We start from the raw sequence: 26,776 nt of genomic DNA, 5'->3' as shown, positions 1-26,776 counted from the left end.
ATATAGTGGAATGGATTAGAATCAACCAGATTAGAAACTAATGGAATGGAATGGAATGGAATGGAATCTACCCGAGTGGAATGGAATGGAATGGAATTTAATGGAATGGAATGGAATGCAATGGAACGAAATGGAATGGAATCTACCCGAGTGGAATGGAATGGAATGGAATTTAATGGAATGGAATGGAATGCAATGGAACGAAATGGAATGGAATCTACCCGAGTGGAATGGAATGGAATGGAATTTAATGGAGTGGAAAGGAATAGGATGGTATGGAATCAACCTGAGTGGAATGGTAAAGAATGGAATGTAATGGAACGGAATGGATTGGAATAAAATGGAATCGAATGGAATGGAAAAAACCCGAGTGGGAAGGAATGCAATGGAATGGAATAACCGGAGAGGAATGGAATGGAATGGAGTGGAATCGAATGGAATTGAATGGAATGGAATGGAATGGAATAGAATGAAATGGAAAGGAATGGAACGGAAACAACACGAGTGGAATGGAATGGAAAGCAATAGAATGGCATGGAAACAATGCAATGCAATGGTATCAACTGGAATGGAATGCATTGGAATGGAATGGAATGGAATCGCCCTGAGTGGAAAGGAATGGAATAGAATGGAATGGAAAGGAATGGAATGGAATGGAAACTAATGGAACGGAATGGAAACAACCCGAGTGGAATGGAATGCAATGGATTGGAATGGAATGGAATGGAATGGAATACAACAAAATGGAAACAACCCGAGTGGAATGGCATGGAATCGAAAGGACTTGAATAGAATGGAATGGATTGGAATCAACCCGATTAGAAACTAATGGAATGGAATGGAATGGAATCTACCCGAGTGGAATGGAATGGAATGGATTTTAATGGAATGGAATGGGATGGAATGGAATGGAATGGAATGGAATGGAATGGAATGGAACGGAACGGAATAGAATGGAATGCAATGGAATGGAATCTACCCGAGTGGAATGGAATGGAATGGAATTTAATGGAATGGAATGGAATAGAATGGTATGAAATCAACCCGAGTGGAATGGTATAGAATGGAATGTAATGGAACGGAATGGAATGGAATAAAATGGAATGGAATGGAATGGAAACAACTCGAGAGGAATGCAATGGAATGGAATAAAAGGGCATGGAATGGAATCACCCTGAGTGGAAAGGAATGGAATGGAATGGAATGGAAAGCAATGGAATGGAATGGAAACTAATGGAATGGAATGGAAAAAACCCGAGTGGAATGGAATGCAATGGATTGGAATGGAATGGAATGGAATAAAACAAAATGGAAACAACCCGAGTGGAATGGCATGGAATAGAAAGGACTTGAATAGAATGGAATGGATTGGAATCAACCCGATTAGAAACTAATGGAATGGAATGGAATGGAATCTACCCGAGTGGAATGGAATGGAATGGAATTTAATGGAATGGAATGGAATGGAATGGAGTGGAATGGAATGGAATGGAACGGAACGGAATGGAATGGAATGCAATGGAATGGAATCTACCCGAGTGGAATGGAATGGAATGGAATTTATTGGAATGGTATGGAATAGAATGGTATGAAATCAACCCAAGTGGAATGGTATAGAATGGAATGTAATGGAACGGAATGGAATGGAATAAAATGGAATGGAATGGAATGGAAACAACTCGAGTGGGATGGAATGGAATGGAATGGAATAACCGGAGAGGAATGGAATGGAATGCAGTGGAATGGAATGGAATAGAATGGAATGGAATGGAATGGAATAGAATGAAATGGAAAGGAATGGAATGGAAACAACCCGAGTGGAATGGAATGGAATGGAATGGAATGGAATGGAATGGAATGGAATGGAATGGAATGCAATGGAATGGAATAAAAGGGCATGGAATGGAACGGAATCAACCCGAATGGAATGGAGCGAAACGGAGTGGAATGGGATGGAATGGAATGGAATGGAAAGGAATCAACCTGAAGGGTATGGAATGGAATGGAATTGAATGGAATCAACCCGAGTGGAATGCAATGGAATGAAATGGAATGGAATGGAACGGAACGGAACGGAATTGAATGGAATGGAACCAACCCGAGTGGAAAGGAATAGAATGGAATTGAATGGAATAACATGCAATCAACTTTGGTGGAATGGTATGGAATGTAATGGAATGTAATGGAATGGAATGGAATGGAATGGAATAAAAGGGCATGGAATGGAACGGAATCAACCCGAATGGAATGGAGTGGAATGGAGTGGAATGGTATGGAATGGAATGGAATGGAAAGGAATCAAACCGAAGGGTATGGAATGTAATGGAATGGAACGGAATGGAATGAAAAGGAATGGAATGGAATCAACCCGAGTGGAATGCAATGGAATGAAATGGAATGGAATGGAATGCAACGGAACGGAACGGAACGGAATTGAATGGAATGGAATCAATCCGAGTGGAATGGAATGGAATGGAATGGAATGCAATGGAATGGAATGGAATGGAATGGAATGGAATAACATGCAATCAACTTTGGTGGAATGGTATGGAATGGAATGGAAAGGAATGGAATGGAATAACATGCAATCAACTTTGGTGGAATGGTATGGAATGGAATGGAATGGAATGGAATGGAATGGAATAAAAGGGAATGGAATGGAACAGAATCAACCCGAATGGAATGGAATGGAATGGAGTGGAATGGTATGGAATGGAATGGAATGGGAAGGAATCAACCCGAAGGGTATGGAATGGAATGGAATGGAATGGAATGGAATGGAATGCAATGGAATGGAAAGGAATGGAATGGAATCAACCTGAGTGGAATGCAATGGAATGAAATGGAATGGAACAGAATGGAATGGAATGGAACAGAACGGAACGGAACGGAATTGAATGGAATGGAATCAACCCAAGTGGAATGGAATGGAATGGAATGGAATGGAATGGAATGGAATGGAATGGAATGGAATGGAATGGAATGGAATAGCATGCAATCAACTTTGGTGGAATGGTATGGAATGGAATGGAATGGAATGAAAATGAATCAAACCGAGTGGAATGTAATGTAATGGAATGGAAAGGAATGGAATGGAAACAATACAATGCAATGGTATAAACTGGAATGGAATGCATTGGAATGGAACGGAATTGAATGACCCTGAGTGGAAAGGAATGGAATGGAATGGAATGGAAAGGAAAGGAATGGAATGGAATGGAAACTAATGGAATGGAATGGAAACAACCAGAGTGGAATGGAATGCAATGGAATTGAATGCAATGGAATGGAATGGAATGGAATACAACAAAATGGAAACAACCCGAGTGGAATGGCATGGAATGGAAAGGACTTGAATATAATGGAATGGATTGGAATCAACCCGATTAGAAACTAAAGGAATGGAATGGAATGGAATGGAATGGAATCTACCAAAGTGGAATGGAATGGAATGGAATTTAATGGAATGGAATGGAATGGAATGGAATGGAATGGAATGGAATGGAATGGAACGGAATTGAATGGAATGGAATGGAATAGAATGGAATGGAATGGATTGGAATGGAATGGAATGGAATCAACCCGAGTGGAATGGAATGGAATGGAGTGGAGTGGAATGGAATGGAATGGAAAGGAATGGAATGAAATGGAATGGAAAGGAATCAGCCCGAGTGGAGTGGAATGGAATGGAATTTCATGGAATGGAATGGAATAAAATGGAATGGAATGGAATGGAATCAACTCGAGTGAAATTGAATGGAATGAAATGGAATGGAATCAACCGGAGTGGAGTGGAATTTAATGGAGTGGAATGGAATGGAATGGAATGGAATGGAATGGAATGGAATGGAATGGAATGAAATGGAAAGGAACGGAATGGAATCAACCCGAGTGGAATGGAATGGAATGGAATGGAATGGAATGCAATCCACCCGAGTGAAATGGAATGGAATGGAATGCAATGGAATTGAACGGAATATAATGGAATTGAATGGAATCATCCCGAGTGGAATGGAATGGTATCTAATGCAATGGAATGGAATGGAACAGAACGGAACGGAATTGAATGGAATGGAATCAACCCGAGTGGAAAGGAATGGAATGGAATTGAATGGAATAACATGCAATCAACTTTGGTGGAATGGTATGGAATGGAATGGAATGGAATAGAATGGAATGGAATGGAATGGAAAGGAATCAAACTGAAGGGTATGGAATGTAATGGAATGGAACGGAATGGAATGAAAAGGAATGGAATGGAATCAACCCGAGTTTAATGCAATGGAATGAAATGGAATGGAATGGAATGGAACGGAACGGAACGGAATTGAATGGAATGGAATCAATCCGAGTGGAATGGAATGGAATGGAATGGAATGGAATGGAATGGAATGGAATAACATACAATCAACTTTGGTGGAATGGTATGGAATGGAATGGAAAGGAATGGAACGGAATAACATGCAATCAACTTTGGTGGAATGGTATGGAATGGAATGGAAAGGAATGGAATGGAATGGAATAAAAGGGAATGGAATGGAACAGAATCAACCCGAATGGAATGGAACGGAATGGAGTGGAATGGTATGGAATGGAATGGAATGGGAAGGAATCAACCCGAAGGGTATGGAATGGAATGGAATGGAATCAACCTGAGTGGAATGCAATGGAATGAAATGGAATGGAACAGAATGGAATGGAATGGAACGGAACGGAACGGAACGGAACGGAATTGAATGGAATGGAATCAACCCAAGTGGAATGGAATGGAATGGAATGGAATGGAATGGAATGGAATGGAATGGAATGGAATAGCATGCAATCAACTTTGGTGGAATGGTATGGAATGGAATGGAATGGAATGGAATGGAATGGAATGGAATGGAGATGAATCAAACCGAGTGGAATGTAATGTAATGGAATGGAAAGGAATGGAATGGAAAGAATACAATGCTATGTTATCAACTGGAATGGAATGCATTGGAATGGAACGGAATTGAATCACCCTGAGTGGAAAGGAATGGAATGGAATGGAATGGAAAGGAAAGGAATGGAATGGAATGGAAACTAATGGAATGGAATGGAAACAACCAGAGTGGAATGCAATGCAATGGAATGGAATGGAATGGAATACAACAAAATGGAAACAACCCGAGTGGAATGGCAGGGAATGGAAAGGACTTGAATATAATGGAATGGATTGGAATCAACCCGATTAGAAACTAAAGGAATGGAATGGAATGGAATGGAATGGAATGGAATGGAATGGAATGGAATCTACCCAAGTGGAATTTAATGGAATGGAATGGAATGGAATGGAACGGAATTGAATGGAATGGAATGGAATAGAATGGTATGGAATCAACCCGAGTGGAATGGAATAGAATGGAATGGAATGGAATGGAATGGAATAGAATGAAATTGAAAGGAATGGAATGGAAACAACACGAGTGGAATGGAATGGAATGGAATGGAATGGAATGGAATGGAATGAACCCGAATGGAATGGAATGGAATGGAATGGAATGGAATGGAATGGAATGGAATGGATTGGAATGGAATGGAATGGAATCAACCCGAGTGGAATGGAATGGAATGGAGTGGAGTGGAGTGGAATGGAATGGAATGGAAAGGAATGGAATGAAATGGAATGGAAAGGAATCAACCTGAGTGGAGTGGAATGGAATGGAATTTCATGGAATGGAATGGAATAAAATGGAATGGAATGGAATGGAATCAACTCGAGTGAAATGGAATGGAATGAAATGGAATGGAATCAACCGGAGTGGAGTGGAATTTAATGGAGTGGAATGGAATGGAATGGAATGGAATGGAATGGAACGGAATGGAATGGAATGGAATGAAATGGAAAGGAACGGAATGGAATCAACCCGAGTGGAATGGAATGGAATGGAATGCAATGGAATTGAATGGAATATAATGGAATTGAATGAAATCATCCCGAGTGGAATGGAATGGTATCTAATGCAATGGACTGGAATGGAACAGAACGGAATGGAATGGAAAAAATAGATGATTGAATCCAAGTCGAATTGAATGGAATGGAATGGATTGGAAAGGACTGGAATGGATTGGAATGGAAAGGAATGGATTCAACCCGAGTGGAATGTAATGGATTGGAATGGAGTGGAATGGACTGGAATGGAATCAACACAAATGGAATGGAACGGAATGGAATGGAATGGAATGGAATGGAATGGAATGGTATGGAATGAAATGGAAAGGAACGGAATGGAATCAACCCAAGTGGAATGGAATGGAATGGAATGGAAGGGAATCAACACGAGTGGAATGGAATGGAATGGAATGCAATGGAATGGAATGGAACGCAATGGAATGGAATGGAATGGAATGGAATGGAATGGAATCAACCCGAGTGGAGTGGAATGGAATGGAAGGAATCAACCCAAGTGGAATGGAATGGAATGGAATGGAAAGGAGTTGAAAGGAATGGAATGGAATGGAGTGGAATGGAATGGAATGGAATGGAATGGAATCAACCCGAGTGGAATGGAATGGAATGGAATGGAATGGAATGGAATGGAATGGAATGGAATAGAATGGAATGGAATCAACCGGAGTGGAGTGGAATGGAATGGATTGGAATGGAATGGAATGGAATGGAATAGAATGAAATGGAAAGGAACGGACTGGAATCAACCCGAGTGGAATGGAATGGAATGGAATGGAATGGAATGGAATGGAATGGAATGGAATGGAATGGAATCCACCCGAGTGGAATGGAATGGAATGGAATGCAATGGAATTGAACGGAATTTAATGGAATTGAATGGAATCACCCCGAGTGGAATGGAATGGTATCTAATGGAATGGACTGGAATGGAACAGAACGGAATGGAATGGAAAGAATAGAATGAATCCATGTGGAATTGAATGGAATGGAATGGATTGGAAAGGAATGGAATGGATTGGAATGGAAAGGAATGGATACAACCCGAGTGGAATGTAATGGATTGGAATGGAGTGGAATGGAATGGAATGGAATCAACACGAAAGGAATGGAACGGAATGGAATGGAATGGAATGGTATGGATTGGAATGGCATCAACACGAATGGAATGGAACGGAATGGAATGGAATGGAATGGAATGCAATGGAATGGAATGCAATCGAAAGGAACGGAATGGAATCAACACAAGTGGAATGGAATGGAATGGAATGGAAGGGAATCAACACGAGTGGAATGGAATGGAATGGAATGGAATGCAATAGAATGGAATGGAATGGAATGGGATGGAATTCAATGGAATCAACCCGAGTGGAATGGAATGGTATGGAATGCAATGGAATGGAGTGGAACAGAACGGAATGGAATAGAATGGAATTGATTGAATCCGAGTGGAATTGAATGAAAGGGAATGCATTGGAATGGAATGGAAAGGATTCAACCCGAGTGCAATGTAATGGGTTGGAATGCAGTGGAATGGAATGGAATGGAATCAACACAAATGGAATGGAATGGAATGGAATAGAATGGAAAGGAATGGAATGCAATGGAATGGAATGGAATGGAATGAAATGGAATAAACCCGAATGGAATGGAATGGAATGGAATGGAGTGGAATGGAATAAACACCAGTGGAATGAAATCGAATGGAATGAAATGGAATGGAATGGAATCAAACCGAGTAGAATGGAATGGAATGGAATGGAAAGGAATGGAATGGAAAGGAATGGAATCAACTGGAATGGAATGAAATGGAATGGAATGGAGTGGAATGGAATGGAATGCAATGGAATCAACACGAATGGAATGGAATGGAATGGAATGGAATGGAATGGAATGGAATGGAATCAACCCGAGTGGAATGGAATGGAATGGTATGGAATCAACCCGAGTGGAATGGTATGGAATGGAATGGAATGGAACGGAACGGAACGGAACGGAATGGAATGGAATGGAATGGAATGGAATCAACCGGAGTGGAGTGGAATGGAATGGATTGGAATGGAATGGAATGGAATGGAATGGAATGGAATGGAATGGAATGGAGTGGAATGGAATGGAATGAAATGGAAAGGAACGGACTGGAATCAACCCGAGGGGAATGGAATGAAATGGAATGGAATGGAATGGAATGGAATGGAATGGAGTGGAATCCACCCGAGTGGAATGGAATGGAATGGAATGCAATGGAATTGAACGGAATATAATGGAATTGAATGGAATCACCCCGAGTGGAATGGAATGGTATCTAATGCAATGGACTGGAATGGAACAGAACGGAATGGAATGTAAAGAATAGATTGAATCCATATGGAATTGAATGGAATGGAATGGATTGAAAGGAATGGAATGGATTGGAATGGAAAGGAATGGATTCAACCCGAGTGGAATGTAATGGATTGGAATGGAGTGGAATGGAATGGAATGGAATGGAATGGAATCAACACGAAAGGAATGGAACGGAATGGAATGGAATGGAATGGAATGGAATGGTATGGATTGGAATGGCATCAACACGAATGGAATGGAACGGAATGGAATGGAATGGAATGGAATGGAATGCAATGGAATGGAATGCAATCGAAAGGAACGGAATGGAATCAACCCAAGTGGAATGGAATGGAATGGAATGGAATGGAATGGAATGGAATGGAAGGGAATCAACACGAGTGGAATGGAATGGAATGGAATGCAATAGAATGGAATGGAATGGAATAGGATGGAATTCAATGGAATCAACCCGAGTGGAATGGAATGGTATAGAATGCAATGGAATGGAGTGGAACAGAACGGAATGGAATAGAATGGAATTGATTGAATCCGAGTGGAATTGAATGGAAGGGAATGCATTGGAATGGAATGGAAAGGATTCAACCCGAGTGCAATGTAATGGATTGGAATGCAGTGGAATGGAATGGAATGGAATGGAATGGAATGGAATGGAATGGAATCGACACAAATGGAATGGAATGGAATGGAATAGAATGGAAAGGAATGGAATGGAATGGAATGAAATGGAATAAACCCGAATGGAATGGAATGGAATGGAGTGGAATGGAATAAACACCAGTGGAATGAAATCGAATGGAATGAAATGGAATGGAATGGAATCAACCCGAGTAGAATGGAATGGAATGGAATGGAAAGGAATGGAATGGAAAGGAATGCAATCAACTGGCATGGAATGATATGGAATGGAATGGAATGGAATGGAATGGAATGGAATAGAATCAACTCGAGTGGAATGGAATGTAATGAAATTGAGTGGAATGGAATGGAATTGAATGGAATGGAATGGAATGCTGTGGAATGGAAATAGAATGAAATAAAAACGAATAGAATGGAACGGAATGGAATGGAACGGAATGGAATGTAATGGAATGGAATGGAATGGAATGGAATGGAATGGAATGAAATGGAAAGGAACGGAATGGAATAAACCTGAGTGGGACGGAATGGAATGGAAAGGAATCAACCCGAGTGGAATGAAATGTAATGTAATGCAATGGAATGGAGTGGAATCAACCTGAGTCGAATGCAATGGAATGGAATAGTATGGAGTGGAATGGAATGGAATGGAATGGAAAGGAATGGAATGGAATGGAATGGAACGTAATGGAATCCAACGGAATCAACTGGAATTGAATAGCATAGAATGGAATGGAATGGTATGGAATCAATCCCGGTGGAATGGAACGGAATGTATGGAGTGGAATGGAATGGAAAGGAGTGGAATGGAATGGAATGGAATGCAGTGGAATTTAATAGAATAGAATCAACCCGAATGGAATGGAACGGAATGGAATGGAAAGGAATGGAATGGAATGGAATGGAATGGAATGGAATGGAATGGAATGGAATGGAATGGAATTATCCCGAGTGGAATGGAATGGTATGGAATGCAATGGAATGGAATGGAACAGAACGGAAAGGAATGGAATGGAATAGATTGAATCCGAGAGGAATTGACTGGAGTGGAATGGATTGGAATGGAATGCAAGGGATTCAACCCAGTTGAATGTCATGGATTGGAAAGGAGTGGAATGGAATGGAATGGTATCAACACGAATGGAATGGAACGGAATGGAATGGAATGGAATGGAATGGAATGGAATGGAATGGAATGGAATGGAATGGAATGGAAACAAGACAAATGGAATGGAACGGAATGGAATGGAATGGAATGCTGTGGAATCGAATGGAATGGAATGAAATAAACACGAATAGAATGGAACGGAATGGAATGGAATGGAATGGAATGGAATGGAATGGAATGGAATGGAATGAAATGGAAAGGAACGGAATGCAATTAACCCGAGTGGAACGGAATGAAATGGAAAGGAATCAATCCGAGTGGAATGAAATGGAATGTAATGCAATGCAATGGAGCGGAATCAACCTGAGTCGAATGCAATGGAATGAAATGGAAAGGAGTGGAATGGAATGGAACGGAATGGAATGGAATGGAATGGAATGGAATGTAACTGAATGGAATCCAATGGAATCAACTGGAATGGAATAGCATAGAATGGAATGGAATGGAATGGAATCAATCCGGGTGGAATGGAATGGAATGTATGGAGTGGAATGGAATGGAATGCAGTGGAATGGAATGGAATGGAATGCAGTTGAATTTAATGGAATGGAATCAACCCGAATGGAATGGAAAGGAATGGAATGGAATGGAATGGAATGGAATGGAATGGAATGGAATGATCAACCCGAATGGGATGGAATGAAATGGAATGTAATGGAATGCAATGGAATGCTATGGAATCAACCCGAGTGTAAGGGAAATGCATGGAATGGAATGGAATGGAATGGAATGGAATGGAATCAACCCAAGTGCAATGGAATGGAATGGAATGCAACGGAATCAACCCGAGTGGAATGGAAGGGAAAGGAATGGAATGAAATGGAATGGAAAGGAATGGAATGGAATCAACCCGAATGGAATGTAATGGAATGGAAAGGAATGAATGGAATAGAATGGAATGGTATGGAATCAACCCGAGTGGAATGGAATGTACTGGAATGGAATAGAATGGAATGGAATGCAATGGAATGGAATGGAATGGAAAGGAACGGAATGGAATGCAATGGAATGGAATAGAATGGAATGGAATGGAATGAACCCGAATGGAATGGAATGGAAAGGAATGCAATGGAATAAAATGAAATGGAATCAACCCGAATGGAATGGAACGGAATGGAATGGAAAGGAATGGAATGGAATGGAATTGAATGGAATGGAATGGAATGGAACAGAACCGAAAGGAATGGAATGGAATAGATTGAATCCGAGAGGAATTGACTGTAGTGGAATGGATTGGAATGGAATGCAAGGGATTCAATCCAGTTGAATGTCATGGATTGGAAAGGAGTGGAACGGAGTGGAATGGAAAGCAGTGGAATGGAATGGAATGGAATCAACACGAATGGAATGGAACGGAATGGAATGGAATGGAATGGAATGGAGTGGAATAGAAACAACACGAATGGAATGGAACGGAACGGAATGGAATGGAATGCTGTGGAATGGAAAGAATTGGAATGAAATAAACACGAATAGAATGGAATGGAATGGAATGGAAAGGAAAGGAATGCAATGCAATGGAATGGAATGGAAAGGAAACAACATGAATAGAATGGAACGGAATGGAATGGAATGCTGTGGAATGGAATGGAATGGAATGAAATAAACACGAATAGAATGGAACGGAACGGAATGGAATGGAATGGAATGGAATGGAATGGAATGGAATGGAGTGAAATGGAAAGGAACAGAATGGAATTAACTCGAGTGGAATTGAATGGAATGGAAAGGAATCAACCCGAGTGGAATGAAATGGAATGTAATGCAATGGAATGGAGCAGAATCAACCTGAGTGGAACGGAATGGAATGGAATGGAATGGAATGGAATGGAATGGAATGCAATGGAACGGAATGGAATGGAATCATCCCGAGTGGAATGGAATGGTATGGAATGCAATGGAATGGAATGGAACAGAACGGAAAGGAATGGAATGGAATAGATTGAATCTGAGAGGAATTGACTGGAGTGGAATGGATTGGAATGGAATGCAAAGGATTCAACCCAGTTGAATGTCATGGATTGGAAAGGAGTGGAATGGAATGGAATGGAAAGGAGTGGAATGGAATGGAATGGAATGGAGTAAAATGGAAAGGAACAGATTGCAATTCACCCGAGTGGAATTGAATGGAATAGAAAGGAATCAACCCGAGTGGAATGAAATGGAATGTAATGCAATGGAATGGAGCGGAATCAACCTGAGTGTAAGGGAATGGAATGGAATGGAATGGAATGGAATGGAATGGAATGGAATCAACCCGAATGGAATGGAACGGAATGGAATGGAACGGAATGGAAAGGAATGGAATGGAATGGAATGGAACGGAATGGAATCATCCGAAGTGGAATGGAATGGTATGGAATGCAAGGGAATGGAATGGAACAGAACGGAAAGGAATGGAATGGAATAGATTGAATCCGAGAGGAATTGACTGGAGTGGAATGGACTGGAATGGAATGCAAGGAATTCAACCCAGTTGAATGTCATGGATTGGAAAGGAGTGGAATGGAATGGAATGGAATCAACACGAATGGAATGGAACGGAATGGAATGAAATGGAATGGAATGGAATGGAATGGAATGGAATGGAATGAACCCGAATGGAATGGAATGGAATGGAATGGAATGGAATGGAATGGAATGGAATGGAATAGAATCAACTCGAGTGGAATGGAATGTAATGGAATTGAGTGGAATGGAATGGAATTGAATGGAATGGAATGGAATGCTGTGGAATGGAAATAGAATGAAATAAAAACGAATAGAATGGAACGGAATGGAATGGAACAGAATGGAATGGAATGGAATGGAATGGAATGGAATGGAATGGAATGAAATGGAAAGGAACGGAATGGAATCAACCCGAGTGGAATGGAATGGAATGGAATGCAATGGAATTGAACGGAATATAATGGAATTGAATGGAATCATCCCGAGTGGAATGGAATGGTATCTAATGCAATGGACTGGAATGGAACAGAACGGAATGGAAAGGAAAAAATAGATGATTGAATCCAAGTCGAATTGAATGGAATGGAATGGATTGGAAAGGACTGGAATGGATTGGAATGGAAAGGAATGGATTCAACCCGAGTGGAATGTAACGGATTGGAATGGAGTGGAATGGACTGGAATGGAATCAACACAAATGGAATGGAACGGAATGGAATGGAATGGAATGGTATGGAATGGAATGGAATGGTATGGAATGAAATGGAAAGGAACGGAATGGAATCAACCCAAGTGGAATGGAGTGGAATGGAATGGAATGGAATGGAAGGGAATCAACACGAGTGGAATGGAATGGAATGCAATGGAATGGAATGGAATGGAATGGAATGGAATGGAATGGAATGGAATCAACCCGAGTGGAGTGGAATGGAATGGAAGGAATCAACCCAAGTGGAATGGAATGGAATGGAATCGAAAGGAGTGGAAAGGAATGGAATGGAATGGAGTGGAATGGAATGGAATGGAATGGAATCAACCCGAGTGGAATGGAATGGAATGCTATGGAATCAACCCGAGTGGAATGGTATGGAATGGAATGGAATGGAATGGAACGGAATGGAATGGAATAAAATGGAATGGAATGGAATGGAATCAACCCGAGTGGAATGGAATGGAATGGAATGGAATGGAATGGAATGGAATGGAATGGAATGGAATGGAATAGAATGGAATGGAATCAACCGGAGTGGAGTGGAATGGAATGGATTGGAATGGAATGGAATGGAATGGAATGGAATGGAATGGAATGGAATGGAATGAAATGGAAAGGAACGGACTGGAATCAACCCGAGTGGAATGGAATGGAATGGAATGGAATGGAATGGAATGGAGTGGAATGGAATGGAATCCACCCGAGTGGAATGGAATGGAATGGAATGCAATGGAATTGAACGGAATTTAATGGAATTGAATGGAATCACCCCGAGTGGAATGGAATGGTATCTAATGGAATGGACTGGAATGGAACAGAACGGAATGGAATGGAAAGAATAGAATGAATCCATGTGGAATTGAATGGAATGGAATGGATTGGAAAGGAATGGAATGGATTGGAATGGAAAGGAATGGATACAACCCGAGTGGAATGTAATGGATTGGAATGGAGTGGAATGGAATGGAATGGAATCAACACGAAAGGAATGGAACGGAATGGAATGGAATGGAATGGTATGGATTGGAATGGCATCAACACGAATGGAATGGAACGGAATGGAATGGAATGGAATGGAATGCAATGGAATGGAATGCAATCGAAAGGAACGGAATGGAATCAACACAAGTGGAATGGAATGGAATGGAATGGAAGGGAATCAACACGAGTGGAATGGAATGGAATGGAATGGAATGCAATAGAATGGAATGGAATGGAATGGGATGGAATTCAATGGAATCAACCCGAGTGGAATGGAATGGTATGGAATGCAATGGAATGGAGTGGAACAGAACGGAATGGAATAGAATGGAATTGATTGAATCCGAGTGGAATTGAATGAAAGGGAATGCATTGGAATGGAATGGAAAGGATTCAACCTGAGTGCAATGTAATGGATTGGAATGCAGTGGAATGGAATGGAATGGAATGGAATGGAATCGACACAAATGGAATGGAATGGAATGGAATAGAATGGAAAGGAATGGAATGCAATGGAATGGAATGGAATGGAATGAAATGGAATAAACCCGAATGGAATGGAATGGAATGGAGTGGAATGGAATAAACACCAGTGGAATGAAATCGAATGGAATGAAATGGAATGGAATGGAATCAACCCGAGTAGAATGGAATGGAATGGAATGGAAAGGAATGGAATGGAAAGGAATGCAATCAACTGGCATGGAATGAAATGGAAAGGAATGGAATGGAATGGAATAGAATCAACTCGAGTGGAATGGAATGTAATGAAATTGAGTGGAATGGAATGGAATTGAATGGAATGGAATGGAATGCTGTGGAATGGAAATAGAATGAAATAAAAACGAATAGAATGGAACGGAATGGAATGGAACGGAATGGAATGGAATGGAATGGAATGGAATGGAATGGAATGGAATGAAATGGAAAGGAACGGAATGGAATAAACCTGAGTGGGACGGAATGGAATGGAAAGGAATCAACCCGAGTGGAATGAAATGTAATGTAATGCAATGGAATGGAGCGGAATTAACCTGAGTCGAATGCAATGGAATGGAATAGTATGGAGTGGAATGGAATGGAATGGAATGGAAAGGAATGGAATGGAATGGAATGGAACGTAATGGAATCCAACGGAATCAACTGGAATGGAATAGCATAGAATGGAATGGAATGGTATGGAATCAATCCCGGTGGAATGGAACGGAATGTATGGAGTGGAATGGAATGGAAAGGAGTGGAATGGAATGGAATGGAATGCAGTGGAATTTAATAGAATAAAATCAACCCGAATGGAATGGAACGGAATGGAATGGAAAGGAATGGAATGGAATGGAATGGAATGGAATGGAATGGAATGGAATGGAATTATCCCGAGTGGAATGGAATGGTATGGAGTGCAATGGAATGGAATGGAACAGAACGGAAAGGAATGGAATGGAATAGATTGAATCCGAGAGGAATTCACTGGAGTGGAATGGAATGGAGTGGAATGCAAGGGATTCAACCCAGTTGAATGTCATGGATTGGAAAGCAGTGGAATGGAATGGAATGGAAAGGAGTGGAATGGAATGGAATGGAATCAACACGAATGTAATGGAACGGAATAGAATGAAATGGAATGGAATGGAATGGAATGGAATGGAAAGGAACGGAATGGAATTAACCCGACTGGAACGGAATGGAATGGAAAGGAATCAACCCGAATGGAATGAAATGGAATGTAATGCAATGGAATGGAGCAGAATCAACCCGAGTCGAATGCAATGGAATGGAATGGAAAGGAGTGGAATGGAATGGAACGGAATGGAATCCAATGGAATCAGCTGGAATGGAATAGCATAGAATGGAATGGAATGGAATGGAATCAATCCGGGTGGAAAGGAATGGAATGTATGGAGTGGAATGTAATGGAATGGAGTGGAATGTAATGGAATGGAATGCAGTGGAATTTAATGGAATGTAATCAACCCGAATGGAATGGAGCAGAATGGAATGGAATCGAATGCAATGGAATGGAATGGAATGGAATCAACCCGAATGGGATGGAATGGAATGGAATGGAATGGAATACAATGGAATGCTATGGAATCAACCCGAGTGTAAGGGAAATGCATGGAATGGAATGGAATGGAATGGAATGAAACGGAATGGAATGGAATCAACCCAAGTGCAATGGAAAGGAATGGAATGCAACGGAATCAACCCGAGTGGAATGGAATGGAAAGGAATGGAATGAAATGGAATGGAAAGGAATGGAATGGAATCAACCGAATGGAATGGAATGGAATGGAAAGGAATGAATGGAATGGAATGGAATGGAATGGAATGGAATGGAATGGAATGGAATCAACCCGAGTGGAATGGAATGGACTGGAATGGAATAGAATGGAATGGAATGGAATGGAATGGAATGCAACGGAATCAACCCGAGTAGAATGGAATGGAAAGGAATGGAATGAAATGGAATGGAAAGGAATGGAATGGAATCAACCCGAATGGAATGGAATGGAATGGAAAGGAACGAATGGAATGGAATGCAATGGAATGGAATGGAATGGAATGGAATGGAATGGAATGGAATGGAAAGGAATGGAATGGAATGGAATGGTATGGAATCAACCCGAGTGGAATGGAATGGACTGGAATGGAATAGAATGGAATGGAATGGAATGGAATCAACCCAAATGGGATGGAATGGAATGGAATGGACTGGAATGGAATGCAGTGGAATGGAATGGAATGTAACTGAATGGAATCCAATGGAATCAACTGGAATGGAATAGCATAGAATGGAATGGAATGCAATGGAATCAATCCGGGTGGAATGGAATGGAATGTATGGAGTGGAATGGAATGGAATGGAGTGGAATGGAATGGAATGGAATGCAGTGGAATTTAATGGAATGGAATCAACCCGAATGGAATGGAAACGAATGGAATGGAATGGAATGGAATGGAATGGAATGGAATGGAATGGAATGGAATGGAATGGAATCAACCCGAATGGGATGGAATGAAGTGGAATGTAATGGAATGGAATGGAATGGAATGGAATCAACCCGAATGGGATGGAATGAAATGGAATGTAATGGAATGCAATGGAATGCTATGGAATCAACCCAAGTGTAAGGGAAATGCATGGAATGGAATGGAATGGAATGGAATCAACCCATGTGCAATGGAATGGAATGGAATGCAACGGAATCAACCCGAGTGGAATGGAATGGAAAGGAATGGAATGAAATGGAATGGAAAGGAATGGAATGGAATCAACCCGAATGGAATGGAATGGAATGGAAAGGAATGAATGGAATGGAATGGAATGGAATGGAATGGAATGGAATGGTATGGAATCAACCCGAGTGGAATGGAATGGACTGGAATGGAATAGAATGGAATGGAATGGAATGGAATGCAATGGAATGGAATGGAATGGAAAGGAACGGAACGGAACGGAATGGAATGGAATGGAATGGAATGGGATGGAATGGAATGGAATGGAATGAACCCGAATGGAATGGAATGGAAAAGAATGCAATGGAATAAAATGGAATGGAATCAACCCGAATGGAATGGAACGGAATGGAATGGAAAGGAATGGAATGGAATGGAATGGAATGGAATGGAATGGAATGGAATGGAACAGAACGGAAAGGAATGGAATGGAATAGATTGAATCCGAGAGGAATTGACTGTAGTGGAATGGATTGGAATGGAATGCAAGGGATTCAACCCAGTTGAATGTCATGGATTGGAAAGGAGTGGAATGGAGTGGAATGGAAAGGAGTGGAATGGAATGGAATGGAATCAACACGAATGGAATGGAACGGAATGGAATGGAATGGAATGGAATGGAATGGAATGGAATGGAATAGAAACAACACGAATGGAATGGAACAGAACGGAATGGAAAGGAATGCTGTGGAATGGAAAGAATTGGAATGAAATAAACAGGAATAGAATGGAACGGAATGGAATGGAAAGGAATGGAATGCAATGGAATGGTATGGAAAGGAAACAACACGAATAGAATGGAACGGAATGGAATGGAATGCTGTGGAATGGAATGGAATGGAATGAAATAAACACGAATAGAATGGAACGGAATGGAATGGAATGGAATGGAATGGAATGGAATGGAGTGAAATGGAAAGGAACAGAATGGAATTCACCCGAGTGGAATTGAAAGGAATGGAAAGGAATCAACCCGAGTGGAATGAAATGGAATGTAATGTAATGGAATGGAGCGGAATCAACCTGCGTGGAATGGAATGGAATGGAATGGAATGGAATGGAATGGAATGGACCGGAACGGAATGGAATGGAATGGAATGGAATGGAATGGAATGGAATGGAACGGAACGGAATGGAATGGAATGGAATCATCCCGAGTGGAATGGAATGATATGGAATGCAATGGAATGGAATGGAACGGAACAGAAAGGAATGGAATGGAATAGATTGAATCCGAGAGGAATTGACTGGAGAGGAATGGATTGGAATGGAATGCAAGGGATTCAACCCAGTTGAATGTCATGGATTGGAAAGAGTGGAATGGAATGGAATGGAAAGGAGTGGAATGGAATGGAATGGAATGGAGTGAAATGGAAAGGAACGGATTGGAATTAACCCGAGTGGAATTGAATGGAATGGAAAGGAATCAACCCGAGAGGAATGAAATGGAATGTAATGCAATGGAATGGAGCGGAATCAACCTGAGTGGAATGGAATGGAATGGAATGGAATGGAATGGAATGGAATGGAATGGAATGGAATGGAATGGAATGGAATGCAATTGAATGGAATGGAATGGAATCAACCCGAATGGAATGGAACGGAATGGAAAGGAATGGAATGGAATGGAATGGAACGGAATGGAATGGAATGGAATGGAATCATCCCGAGTGGAATGGAATGGTATGGAATGCAATGAAATGGAATGGAACAGAACGGAAAGGAATGGAATGGAATAGACTGAATCCAAGAGGAATTGACTGGTGTGGAATGGACTGGAATGGAATGCAAGGAATTCAACCCAGTTGAATGTCATGGATTGGAAAGGAGTGGAATGGAATGGAATGGAAAGGAGTGGAATGGAATGGAATGGAATGGAATCAACACGAATGGAATTGAACGGAATGGAATGAAATGGAATCGAATGGAATGGAATGGAATGGAATGGAATGGAATGGAATGGAATGAACCCGAATGGAATGGAATGGAATGGAATGGAATGGAATGGAATGGAATGGAATGGAATGGAATAGAATCAACTCGAGTAGAATGGAATGTAATGGAATTGAGTGGAATGGAATGGAATTGAATGGAATGGAATGGAATGCTGTGGAATGGAATGGAATGAAATAAAAACGAATAGAATGGAACGGAATGGAATGGAACGGAATGGAATGGAATGGAATGAAATGAAATGAAATGGAAAGGAACGGAATGGAATAAACCCGAGTGGGACGGAATGGAATGGAAAGGAATCAACCAGAGTGGAATGAAATGTAATGTAATGCAATGGAATGGAGCGGAATCAACCTGAGTCGAATGCAATGGAATGGAATGGTATGGAGTGGAATGGAATGGAATGGAATGGAATGGAATGGAATGGAATGGAACGGAATGGAATCCAACGGAATCAACTGGAATGGAATAGCATAGAATGGAATGGAATGGTATGGAATCAATCCCGGTGGAATGGAACGGAATGTATGGAGTGGAAAGGAATGGAATGGAGTGGAATGGAATGGAATGGAATGCAGTGGAATTTAATGGAATGGAATCAACCCGAATGGAATGGAACGGAATGGAATGGAAAGGAATGGAATGGAATGGAATGGAATGGAATGGAATGGAATGGAATCAACCCGAATGGGATTGAATGGAATGGAATGTAATGGAATGCAATGGAATGCTATGGAATCAACCGGAGTGTAAGGGAAATGCATGGAACGGAATGGAATGGAATGGAATGGAATGGAATGGAATGGAGTGAAATGGAAAGGAACGGAATGGAATTAACCCGAGTGGAATTGAATGGAATGGAAAGGAATCAACCCGAGTGGAATGTAATGCAATGGAATGGAGCGGAATCAACCTGAGTGGAATAGAATGGAATGGAATGGAATGGAATGGAAGGGAATGGAATGCAATGGAACGGAATGGAATGGAATGGAATGGAAACATCCCGAGTGGAATGGAATGGTATGGAATGCAATGGAATGGAATGGAACAGAACGGAAAGGAATGGAATGGAATAGATTGAATCCGAGAGGAATTGACTGGAGTGGAATGGATTGGAATGGAATGCAAGGGATTCAACCCGAATGGGATGGAATGGAATGGAATGGAATGGAATGCAATGGAATGCTATGAAATCAACCCGAGTGTAAGGGAAATGCATGGAATGGAATGGAATGGAATGGAATCAACCCAAGTGCAATGGAATGGAATGGAATGCAACAGAATCAACCCGAGTGGAATGGAATGGAAAGGAATGGAATGAAATGGAATGGAAAGGAATGGAATGGAATCAACCCGAATGGAATGGAATGGAATGGAAAGGAATGAATGGAATGGAATGGAATGGAACGAATGGAATGGAAGGGAATGGAATGGAATGGTATGGAATCAAACCGAGTGGAATGGAATGGACTGGAATGGAATAGAATGGAATGCAATGGAATGGAATGGAATAGAATGGAATCAACCAGAATGGAATGGAATGGAATCGAATGGAATGGAATGGAATGGAATGCTATGGAATCAACCCCGAGTGTAATGGAAATGAATGGAATGGAATGGAATGGAATGGAATGGAATGGAATGGAATGGAGTGGAATGGAAGACAATGGAATGGAATGGAATGGAATGGAATGGAATGGAATGGAATGGACCTGAACGGAATGGAATTGAATGGCATGGAATGAACCCGAATGGAAAGGAATGGAATGGAATGGAATGGAAAGGAATAGAATCAACTCGAGTGGAATGGAATGTAATGGAATGGAGTGGAATGGAATGGAATTGAATGGAATGGAATGGAATGGAATCAACCTGAATGGAATGGAATGGAATGGAATGGAATGGAATGGAATGGAATGGAATGGCATGGAATCAACCCGAGTGGAATGGAATGGAATGGAATTCAATGGAATGGAATGGAATGGAATGGTATGGAATCAACCCGAGTGGAATATTATCGAATGGAATGGAATGGAACGGAATGGATTGGAATAAAATGGAATGGAATGGAATGGAATCAACCAGAATGGGATGGAATGGAATGGAATGGAATGGAATGGAATGGAATGGAATGGAGTGGAATGGAATGGAAACATCCCGAGTGGAATGGAATGGTATGGAATGCAATGGAACGGAATGGAACAGAACGGAATGGAATGGAAAGGAATGGAATGGAATGGAATGGAATGGAATGGAATGGAATGGAATGGAATGGAATCAACCCGAATGGGATTGAATGGAATGGAATGTAATGGAATGCAATGGAATGCTATGGAATCAACCGGAGTGTAAGGGAAATGCATGGAACGGAATGGAATGGAATGGAATGGAATGGAATGGAATGGAATGGAATGGAGTGAAATGGAAAGGAACGGAATGGAATTAACCCGAGTGGAATTGAATGGAATGGAAAGGAATCAACCCGAGTGGAATGTAATGCAATGGAATGGAGCGGAATCAACCTGAGTGGAATAGAATGGAATGGAATGGAATGGAATGGAAGGGAATGGAATGCAATGGAACGGAATGGAATGGAATGGAATGGAAACATCCCGAGTGGAATGGAATGGTATGGAATGCAATGGAATGGAATGGAACAGAACGGAAAGGAATGGAATGGAATAGATTGAATCCGAGAGGAATTGACTGGAGTGGAATGGATTGGAATGGAATGCAAGGGATTCAACCCGAATGGGATGGAATGGAATGGAATGGAATGGAATGCAATGGAATGCTATGAAATCAACCCGAGTGTAAGGGAAATGCATGGAATGGAATGGAATGGAATGGAATCAACCCAAGTGCAATGGAATGGAATGGAATGCAACAGAATCAACCCGAGTGGAATGGAATGGAAAGGAATGGAATGAAATGGAATGGAAAGGAATGGAATGGAATCAACCCGAATGGAATGGAATGGAATGGAAAGGAATGAATGGAATGGAATGGAATGGAACGAATGGAATGGAAGGGAATGGAATGGAATGGTATGGAATCAAACCGAGTGGAATGGAATGGACTGGAATGGAATAGAATGGAATGCAATGGAATGGAATGGAATAGAATGGAATCAACCAGAATGGAATGGAATGGAATCGAATGGAATGGAATGGAATGGAATGCTATGGAATCAACCCCGAGTGTAATGGAAATGAATGGAATGGAATGGAATGGAATGGAATGGAATGGAATGGAATGGAATGGAATGGAGTGGAATGGAAGACAATGGAATGGAATGGAATGGAATGGAATGGAATGGAATAGAATGGACCTGAACGGAATGGAATTGAATGGCATGGAATGAACCCGAATGGAAAGGAATGGAATGGAATGGAATGGAAAGGAATAGAATCAACTCGAGTGGAATGGAATGTAATGGAATGGAGTGGAATGGAATGGAATTGAATGGAATGGAATGGAATGGAATCAACCTGAATGGAATGGAATGGAATGGAATGGAATGGAATGGAATGGAATGGCATGGAATCAACCCGAGTGGAATGGAATGGAATGGAATTCAATGGAATGGAATGGAATGGAATGGTATGGAATCAACCCGAGTGGAATATTATCGAATGGAATGGAATGGAACGGAATGGATTGGAATAAAATGGAATGGAATGGAATGGAATCAACCAGAATGGGATGGAATGGAATGGAATGGAATGGAATGGAATGGAATGGAATGGAGTGGAATGGAATGGAAACATCCCGAGTGGAATGGAATGGTATGGAATGCAATGGAACGGAATGGAACAGAACGGAATGGAATGGAACGGAATAGATTGAATCAGAGAGTAATTGAATGGAGAGGAATGGATTGGAATGGAATGCAATGGATTCAACCTAGTTGAATGTCATGGATTGGAAAGGAATGGAATGGAATGGAATGGAATGGAGTGGAATCAACACGAATGGAAAGGAACGGAATGGAATGGAATGCAATGGAATGGAATGGAATGGAATGGAATGGAATGGAATGGAATGGAATGGAATGGAATGGAATCAACCCGAGTGGAATGGAATGGAATGGAATGCAATGGAATGAAACGTAATATAATGGAATAGAATGGAAACATCCCGAGTGGAATGGAATGGTATGGAAGGCAATGGAACAGAATGTAACAGAACGGAATGGAATGGAACGGAATAGAATAAATCAGAGAGGAATTGAATGGAGAGGAATGGATTGGAATGGAATGCAATGGATTCAACGCTAGTTGAATATCACGGATTGGAAAGGAACGGAATGGAATGGAATGGAATGGAATGGAATGGAATGGAATGGAATGGAGTGAAATGGAATGGAGTGGAATGGAATAGAATCAACTTGAGTGGAAGGGAATGTAATGGAATGGAGTGGAATGGAATGGAATGGAATGGAATGGAATGGAATGGAATGGAATGGAATGGAATCATCCCGAGTGGAATGGAATGGTATGGAATGCAATGGAATGGAATGCAACAGAACGGAATGGAATGGAATCAACCCAAGTGCAATGGAATGGAATACAATGCAACGGAATCAACCCGAGTGGAATGGAATAGAAAGGCATGCAATGGAATCGAATGGAAAGCAATGGAATGGAATCAACCCGACTGGAACGGAATGGAATGGAAAGGAATGAAGGGAATGGAATGGAATGGAAAGGTATGGAATCAACCCGAGTGGAATGGAATGGAATGGAATGGAATGGAATGGAATGGAATGGAATGGAATGGAATGGAATGGAATGGAATGGAATGGAGTGGAATGGAAGGCAATGGAGTGGAATGGAAGGCAATGGAATGGAATGGAATGGAATGGAATGGAATGGAATGGAATGGAATGGAATGGAACAGAATGGAATTGAATGGCATGGAATGAACCCGAATGGAATGGAATGGAATGGAATGGAATGGAATAGAATCAATTCGCGTGGAATGGAATGTAATGGAATGGAGTGGAATGGAATGGAATGGAATGGAATGGAATGGAATGGAATGAACCCAAGTGCAATGGAATGGAATAGAATGCAACGGAATCAAACCGAGTGGAATGGAATAGAAAGGCATGCAATGGAATCGAATGGAAAGCAATGGAATGGAATCAACCCGACTGGAATGCAATGGAATGGAAAGGAATGAAGGGAATGGAATGGAATGGAAAGGTATGGAATCAACCCGAGTGGAATGGAATGGAATGGAATGGAGTGGAATGGAATGGAATGGAGCGGAATGGAAGGCAATGCAATGGAATGGAATGGAATAGAATGGAACGGAACGGAATGGAATTGAATGCCATGGAATGAACCCGAATGCAATGGCATGGATGGAATGGAATGGAATGGAATGGAATGGAATGGAATGGAATGGAATGGAATGGAATAGAATCAACTCGAGTGGAATGGAATGTAATGGAATGGAGTGGAATGGAATTGAATTGAATGGAATGGCATGGAATGGAATGGAATGGAATGGTATCAACACGACTGGAATGGAATGGAATGGAATGGAATGGAATCAACCCGTGTAGAATGGAATGGAATGGAATGCAATGGAATGAAACGGAATATAATGGATATTGGTTTTTCATTATAGGCCTCAATGGGCTCCTAAATGTTCTTGCACAGCTTCTACTAAAAAAGTGTTTCCAACCTGTTAAATCAAAGGAAAGGATTATCTCTGTGAGATGAATCCACACATGGCAAAGCATTTTAACAGATTCTTTCTAGTTTTTAGTGTGGGATATTGGTTTTTCACTGCAGGCCTCAATGGACTCCCAAATGTTTCTGTGCATATTCTACAAAAAGAGTGTTTCCCAACTGCTGAATAAAAAAGAAAGGATTAACTCTGTGAGCTTAATACACACACAGCAAGGTGTTTTCACAGATAGATTCCTTCTAGTTTTTATCAAGGAATATCAGTTTCTCACTACAGGTATCAATGGGCTCCCAAATGTCCCTGCACAGATTCTACAAAAAGAGTGTTTCCAACCTGCCAAATTTAAATAAAGTTTTAACTCTATGAGATGACTCTACACATCACAAAGCTGCTAATTCAAATATAGGTTTAACTTTGTGAGATGAATTCACAAATTGCAAATCAATTTCACAGGTAGCTTCTTTCCAGTTTTTTTCACAGGATATCAGTTTTGCACTATAGGCCTTAATGACTTTAAAAGTGTCCCTGAGCATTCTACAAAAACAGTGTTTTTAACGTGCTGAATCAAAAGAATGGCTTAACTCTGTGAGATGAATCCACAGTGTGCAAAGCATTTTCACAGATAGCTTCTTTTTAGTTTTTATCATGATATATTCAATTTATCACTATAGTCCTCAAAAAGTTTCCTAATGTCCTAATAAAATGCCAAGCGTTTTCAAAGATAGCATCTTCCTAGTATTTATCATGGACATTTGATTCATCATTGTAGGCCTAAATGAACTCCCAAATGTCCTTGTGCAGAATCTACAAAAAGAGTGTTTCCAACATACTTAATTAAAGGAAAGTTTTAACTGTGTGAGATAAGTCCACTAAGCACAAAGCATTTTTACAGATAGATTATTTTTGTTTTTATTCTGTGGTATTCAGTTTATCACTATAGGCCTCAATGTGCTCCCAAATGTCCCTGTGAAGATCTACAAAAAGAGGGTTTCCAACCTGCTGAATAATAAGAAAGGTTTAACACTTTGAGATGAAACTACACATTGGAAAACGTTTTTACAGAGACCTTCTTTCTAATTTTTATAACAGGATATCTGTTTTGCACTAATAGGCCTCATTAGGCTCCTGAATGTCCCTGTGCAGATTCTACAAAAACAGTGTTTCTGAACCTGCTCAATCAAAAGAAAGGTTTAACGCTGTGAGATGAATCCACAAAGTGCAAAGTGTTTTTCACAGAGTGCTGCTTTCTAGTTTTCATCATGGGATGTCGATTTTGCACTATAGGGCTCATTGGGCTCTGAAATGTCTTTGTGCAGACTCTACAAAATGAGTGTTTCCAACCTGCTGAATCAAAAAAGGTTTAACACTGGGATGAATCCAGAAAGCACAAAGCATTCTCACAGATAGCTTCTTTTTTGGTTTTTGTTTGTTTGTTTGTTTGCAGGATTATTGGTTTATCACTCTAAGTCCCAATGGGCTCCCAAAAGTCCCTGCACAGATTCTACAAGAAAAGTGTTTCCAACCACCTGAATCAAAATAAAGGTGTAACTCTGTTAGATTAATCCACACATCCTGAGTGTTTTTACAGGGAGCTTCTTTCTAGTTTTTATCACGAAATATCAGTTTTTCACTACAGGCACCAATGGGCTCC

At 40.9% G+C, this 26,776-nt stretch overlaps 32 annotated features.

Annotated features, from left to right (window-relative positions):
• Window positions 406–1,183: an enhancer, noted in NCBI's record as "OCT4-NANOG hESC enhancer chr4:49117109-49117886 (GRCh37/hg19 assembly coordinates)". NCBI's record gives its function as "activates a minimal SCP1, AML or CMV promoter by ChIP-STARR-seq in naive H9 embryonic stem cells {active_cell/tissue: H9 hESC(naive)}" and the evidence as "EXISTENCE:reporter gene assay evidence [ECO:0000049][PMID:30033119]".
• Window positions 1,184–1,961: an enhancer, noted in NCBI's record as "OCT4-NANOG hESC enhancer chr4:49116331-49117108 (GRCh37/hg19 assembly coordinates)". NCBI's record gives its function as "activates a minimal SCP1, AML or CMV promoter by ChIP-STARR-seq in naive and primed H9 embryonic stem cells {active_cell/tissue: H9 hESC(naive and primed)}" and the evidence as "EXISTENCE:reporter gene assay evidence [ECO:0000049][PMID:30033119]".
• Window positions 1,962–2,739: an enhancer, noted in NCBI's record as "OCT4-NANOG hESC enhancer chr4:49115553-49116330 (GRCh37/hg19 assembly coordinates)". NCBI's record gives its function as "activates a minimal SCP1, AML or CMV promoter by ChIP-STARR-seq in primed H9 embryonic stem cells {active_cell/tissue: H9 hESC(primed)}" and the evidence as "EXISTENCE:reporter gene assay evidence [ECO:0000049][PMID:30033119]".
• Window positions 2,740–3,519: an enhancer, noted in NCBI's record as "OCT4-NANOG-H3K27ac hESC enhancer chr4:49114773-49115552 (GRCh37/hg19 assembly coordinates)". NCBI's record gives its function as "activates a minimal SCP1, AML or CMV promoter by ChIP-STARR-seq in primed H9 embryonic stem cells {active_cell/tissue: H9 hESC(primed)}" and the evidence as "EXISTENCE:reporter gene assay evidence [ECO:0000049][PMID:30033119]".
• Window positions 3,520–4,297: an enhancer, noted in NCBI's record as "OCT4-NANOG-H3K27ac hESC enhancer chr4:49113995-49114772 (GRCh37/hg19 assembly coordinates)". NCBI's record gives its function as "activates a minimal SCP1, AML or CMV promoter by ChIP-STARR-seq in naive and primed H9 embryonic stem cells {active_cell/tissue: H9 hESC(naive and primed)}" and the evidence as "EXISTENCE:reporter gene assay evidence [ECO:0000049][PMID:30033119]".
• Window positions 4,298–5,075: an enhancer, noted in NCBI's record as "OCT4-NANOG-H3K27ac-H3K4me1 hESC enhancer chr4:49113217-49113994 (GRCh37/hg19 assembly coordinates)". NCBI's record gives its function as "activates a minimal SCP1, AML or CMV promoter by ChIP-STARR-seq in naive and primed H9 embryonic stem cells {active_cell/tissue: H9 hESC(naive and primed)}" and the evidence as "EXISTENCE:reporter gene assay evidence [ECO:0000049][PMID:30033119]".
• Window positions 5,076–5,853: an enhancer, noted in NCBI's record as "OCT4-NANOG-H3K27ac-H3K4me1 hESC enhancer chr4:49112439-49113216 (GRCh37/hg19 assembly coordinates)". NCBI's record gives its function as "activates a minimal SCP1, AML or CMV promoter by ChIP-STARR-seq in naive and primed H9 embryonic stem cells {active_cell/tissue: H9 hESC(naive and primed)}" and the evidence as "EXISTENCE:reporter gene assay evidence [ECO:0000049][PMID:30033119]".
• Window positions 5,854–6,633: an enhancer, noted in NCBI's record as "OCT4-NANOG-H3K27ac-H3K4me1 hESC enhancer chr4:49111659-49112438 (GRCh37/hg19 assembly coordinates)". NCBI's record gives its function as "activates a minimal SCP1, AML or CMV promoter by ChIP-STARR-seq in naive and primed H9 embryonic stem cells {active_cell/tissue: H9 hESC(naive and primed)}" and the evidence as "EXISTENCE:reporter gene assay evidence [ECO:0000049][PMID:30033119]".
• Window positions 6,634–7,411: an enhancer, noted in NCBI's record as "OCT4-NANOG-H3K27ac-H3K4me1 hESC enhancer chr4:49110881-49111658 (GRCh37/hg19 assembly coordinates)". NCBI's record gives its function as "activates a minimal SCP1, AML or CMV promoter by ChIP-STARR-seq in naive and primed H9 embryonic stem cells {active_cell/tissue: H9 hESC(naive and primed)}" and the evidence as "EXISTENCE:reporter gene assay evidence [ECO:0000049][PMID:30033119]".
• Window positions 7,412–8,189: an enhancer, noted in NCBI's record as "OCT4-NANOG-H3K27ac-H3K4me1 hESC enhancer chr4:49110103-49110880 (GRCh37/hg19 assembly coordinates)". NCBI's record gives its function as "activates a minimal SCP1, AML or CMV promoter by ChIP-STARR-seq in naive and primed H9 embryonic stem cells {active_cell/tissue: H9 hESC(naive and primed)}" and the evidence as "EXISTENCE:reporter gene assay evidence [ECO:0000049][PMID:30033119]".
• Window positions 8,190–8,967: an enhancer, noted in NCBI's record as "OCT4-NANOG-H3K27ac-H3K4me1 hESC enhancer chr4:49109325-49110102 (GRCh37/hg19 assembly coordinates)". NCBI's record gives its function as "activates a minimal SCP1, AML or CMV promoter by ChIP-STARR-seq in naive and primed H9 embryonic stem cells {active_cell/tissue: H9 hESC(naive and primed)}" and the evidence as "EXISTENCE:reporter gene assay evidence [ECO:0000049][PMID:30033119]".
• Window positions 8,968–9,747: an enhancer, noted in NCBI's record as "OCT4-NANOG-H3K27ac-H3K4me1 hESC enhancer chr4:49108545-49109324 (GRCh37/hg19 assembly coordinates)". NCBI's record gives its function as "activates a minimal SCP1, AML or CMV promoter by ChIP-STARR-seq in naive and primed H9 embryonic stem cells {active_cell/tissue: H9 hESC(naive and primed)}" and the evidence as "EXISTENCE:reporter gene assay evidence [ECO:0000049][PMID:30033119]".
• Window positions 9,748–10,525: an enhancer, noted in NCBI's record as "OCT4-NANOG-H3K27ac-H3K4me1 hESC enhancer chr4:49107767-49108544 (GRCh37/hg19 assembly coordinates)". NCBI's record gives its function as "activates a minimal SCP1, AML or CMV promoter by ChIP-STARR-seq in naive and primed H9 embryonic stem cells {active_cell/tissue: H9 hESC(naive and primed)}" and the evidence as "EXISTENCE:reporter gene assay evidence [ECO:0000049][PMID:30033119]".
• Window positions 10,526–11,305: an enhancer, noted in NCBI's record as "OCT4-NANOG-H3K27ac-H3K4me1 hESC enhancer chr4:49106987-49107766 (GRCh37/hg19 assembly coordinates)". NCBI's record gives its function as "activates a minimal SCP1, AML or CMV promoter by ChIP-STARR-seq in naive and primed H9 embryonic stem cells {active_cell/tissue: H9 hESC(naive and primed)}" and the evidence as "EXISTENCE:reporter gene assay evidence [ECO:0000049][PMID:30033119]".
• Window positions 11,306–12,083: an enhancer, noted in NCBI's record as "OCT4-NANOG-H3K27ac hESC enhancer chr4:49106209-49106986 (GRCh37/hg19 assembly coordinates)". NCBI's record gives its function as "activates a minimal SCP1, AML or CMV promoter by ChIP-STARR-seq in naive and primed H9 embryonic stem cells {active_cell/tissue: H9 hESC(naive and primed)}" and the evidence as "EXISTENCE:reporter gene assay evidence [ECO:0000049][PMID:30033119]".
• Window positions 12,084–12,863: an enhancer, noted in NCBI's record as "OCT4-NANOG-H3K27ac-H3K4me1 hESC enhancer chr4:49105429-49106208 (GRCh37/hg19 assembly coordinates)". NCBI's record gives its function as "activates a minimal SCP1, AML or CMV promoter by ChIP-STARR-seq in naive and primed H9 embryonic stem cells {active_cell/tissue: H9 hESC(naive and primed)}" and the evidence as "EXISTENCE:reporter gene assay evidence [ECO:0000049][PMID:30033119]".
• Window positions 12,864–13,641: an enhancer, noted in NCBI's record as "OCT4-NANOG-H3K27ac-H3K4me1 hESC enhancer chr4:49104651-49105428 (GRCh37/hg19 assembly coordinates)". NCBI's record gives its function as "activates a minimal SCP1, AML or CMV promoter by ChIP-STARR-seq in naive and primed H9 embryonic stem cells {active_cell/tissue: H9 hESC(naive and primed)}" and the evidence as "EXISTENCE:reporter gene assay evidence [ECO:0000049][PMID:30033119]".
• Window positions 13,642–14,419: an enhancer, noted in NCBI's record as "OCT4-NANOG-H3K27ac-H3K4me1 hESC enhancer chr4:49103873-49104650 (GRCh37/hg19 assembly coordinates)". NCBI's record gives its function as "activates a minimal SCP1, AML or CMV promoter by ChIP-STARR-seq in naive and primed H9 embryonic stem cells {active_cell/tissue: H9 hESC(naive and primed)}" and the evidence as "EXISTENCE:reporter gene assay evidence [ECO:0000049][PMID:30033119]".
• Window positions 14,420–15,197: an enhancer, noted in NCBI's record as "OCT4-NANOG-H3K27ac-H3K4me1 hESC enhancer chr4:49103095-49103872 (GRCh37/hg19 assembly coordinates)". NCBI's record gives its function as "activates a minimal SCP1, AML or CMV promoter by ChIP-STARR-seq in naive and primed H9 embryonic stem cells {active_cell/tissue: H9 hESC(naive and primed)}" and the evidence as "EXISTENCE:reporter gene assay evidence [ECO:0000049][PMID:30033119]".
• Window positions 15,198–15,977: an enhancer, noted in NCBI's record as "OCT4-NANOG-H3K27ac-H3K4me1 hESC enhancer chr4:49102315-49103094 (GRCh37/hg19 assembly coordinates)". NCBI's record gives its function as "activates a minimal SCP1, AML or CMV promoter by ChIP-STARR-seq in naive and primed H9 embryonic stem cells {active_cell/tissue: H9 hESC(naive and primed)}" and the evidence as "EXISTENCE:reporter gene assay evidence [ECO:0000049][PMID:30033119]".
• Window positions 15,978–16,755: an enhancer, noted in NCBI's record as "OCT4-NANOG-H3K27ac-H3K4me1 hESC enhancer chr4:49101537-49102314 (GRCh37/hg19 assembly coordinates)". NCBI's record gives its function as "activates a minimal SCP1, AML or CMV promoter by ChIP-STARR-seq in naive and primed H9 embryonic stem cells {active_cell/tissue: H9 hESC(naive and primed)}" and the evidence as "EXISTENCE:reporter gene assay evidence [ECO:0000049][PMID:30033119]".
• Window positions 16,756–17,534: an enhancer, noted in NCBI's record as "OCT4-NANOG-H3K27ac-H3K4me1 hESC enhancer chr4:49100758-49101536 (GRCh37/hg19 assembly coordinates)". NCBI's record gives its function as "activates a minimal SCP1, AML or CMV promoter by ChIP-STARR-seq in naive and primed H9 embryonic stem cells {active_cell/tissue: H9 hESC(naive and primed)}" and the evidence as "EXISTENCE:reporter gene assay evidence [ECO:0000049][PMID:30033119]".
• Window positions 17,535–18,313: an enhancer, noted in NCBI's record as "OCT4-NANOG-H3K27ac-H3K4me1 hESC enhancer chr4:49099979-49100757 (GRCh37/hg19 assembly coordinates)". NCBI's record gives its function as "activates a minimal SCP1, AML or CMV promoter by ChIP-STARR-seq in naive and primed H9 embryonic stem cells {active_cell/tissue: H9 hESC(naive and primed)}" and the evidence as "EXISTENCE:reporter gene assay evidence [ECO:0000049][PMID:30033119]".
• Window positions 18,314–19,092: an enhancer, noted in NCBI's record as "OCT4-NANOG-H3K27ac-H3K4me1 hESC enhancer chr4:49099200-49099978 (GRCh37/hg19 assembly coordinates)". NCBI's record gives its function as "activates a minimal SCP1, AML or CMV promoter by ChIP-STARR-seq in naive H9 embryonic stem cells {active_cell/tissue: H9 hESC(naive)}" and the evidence as "EXISTENCE:reporter gene assay evidence [ECO:0000049][PMID:30033119]".
• Window positions 19,093–19,870: an enhancer, noted in NCBI's record as "OCT4-NANOG-H3K27ac-H3K4me1 hESC enhancer chr4:49098422-49099199 (GRCh37/hg19 assembly coordinates)". NCBI's record gives its function as "activates a minimal SCP1, AML or CMV promoter by ChIP-STARR-seq in naive and primed H9 embryonic stem cells {active_cell/tissue: H9 hESC(naive and primed)}" and the evidence as "EXISTENCE:reporter gene assay evidence [ECO:0000049][PMID:30033119]".
• Window positions 19,871–20,649: an enhancer, noted in NCBI's record as "OCT4-NANOG-H3K27ac hESC enhancer chr4:49097643-49098421 (GRCh37/hg19 assembly coordinates)". NCBI's record gives its function as "activates a minimal SCP1, AML or CMV promoter by ChIP-STARR-seq in naive and primed H9 embryonic stem cells {active_cell/tissue: H9 hESC(naive and primed)}" and the evidence as "EXISTENCE:reporter gene assay evidence [ECO:0000049][PMID:30033119]".
• Window positions 20,650–21,427: an enhancer, noted in NCBI's record as "OCT4-NANOG-H3K27ac hESC enhancer chr4:49096865-49097642 (GRCh37/hg19 assembly coordinates)". NCBI's record gives its function as "activates a minimal SCP1, AML or CMV promoter by ChIP-STARR-seq in naive and primed H9 embryonic stem cells {active_cell/tissue: H9 hESC(naive and primed)}" and the evidence as "EXISTENCE:reporter gene assay evidence [ECO:0000049][PMID:30033119]".
• Window positions 21,428–22,207: an enhancer, noted in NCBI's record as "OCT4-NANOG-H3K27ac hESC enhancer chr4:49096085-49096864 (GRCh37/hg19 assembly coordinates)". NCBI's record gives its function as "activates a minimal SCP1, AML or CMV promoter by ChIP-STARR-seq in naive H9 embryonic stem cells {active_cell/tissue: H9 hESC(naive)}" and the evidence as "EXISTENCE:reporter gene assay evidence [ECO:0000049][PMID:30033119]".
• Window positions 22,208–22,985: an enhancer, noted in NCBI's record as "OCT4-NANOG-H3K27ac hESC enhancer chr4:49095307-49096084 (GRCh37/hg19 assembly coordinates)". NCBI's record gives its function as "activates a minimal SCP1, AML or CMV promoter by ChIP-STARR-seq in naive and primed H9 embryonic stem cells {active_cell/tissue: H9 hESC(naive and primed)}" and the evidence as "EXISTENCE:reporter gene assay evidence [ECO:0000049][PMID:30033119]".
• Window positions 22,986–23,764: an enhancer, noted in NCBI's record as "OCT4-NANOG-H3K27ac-H3K4me1 hESC enhancer chr4:49094528-49095306 (GRCh37/hg19 assembly coordinates)". NCBI's record gives its function as "activates a minimal SCP1, AML or CMV promoter by ChIP-STARR-seq in primed H9 embryonic stem cells {active_cell/tissue: H9 hESC(primed)}" and the evidence as "EXISTENCE:reporter gene assay evidence [ECO:0000049][PMID:30033119]".
• Window positions 23,765–24,543: an enhancer, noted in NCBI's record as "OCT4-NANOG-H3K27ac-H3K4me1 hESC enhancer chr4:49093749-49094527 (GRCh37/hg19 assembly coordinates)". NCBI's record gives its function as "activates a minimal SCP1, AML or CMV promoter by ChIP-STARR-seq in primed H9 embryonic stem cells {active_cell/tissue: H9 hESC(primed)}" and the evidence as "EXISTENCE:reporter gene assay evidence [ECO:0000049][PMID:30033119]".
• Window positions 24,544–25,322: an enhancer, noted in NCBI's record as "OCT4-NANOG-H3K27ac-H3K4me1 hESC enhancer chr4:49092970-49093748 (GRCh37/hg19 assembly coordinates)". NCBI's record gives its function as "activates a minimal SCP1, AML or CMV promoter by ChIP-STARR-seq in primed H9 embryonic stem cells {active_cell/tissue: H9 hESC(primed)}" and the evidence as "EXISTENCE:reporter gene assay evidence [ECO:0000049][PMID:30033119]".

The sequence above is a fragment of the Homo sapiens genome, chromosome 4 (genome assembly GCF_000001405.40).
Source record: "Homo sapiens chromosome 4, GRCh38.p14 Primary Assembly".
NCBI lineage: Eukaryota > Metazoa > Chordata > Mammalia > Primates > Hominidae > Homo > Homo sapiens.
Note: the sequence above shows the minus strand (reverse complement) of the source record. Positions and strands in the feature narration are given on the sequence as shown.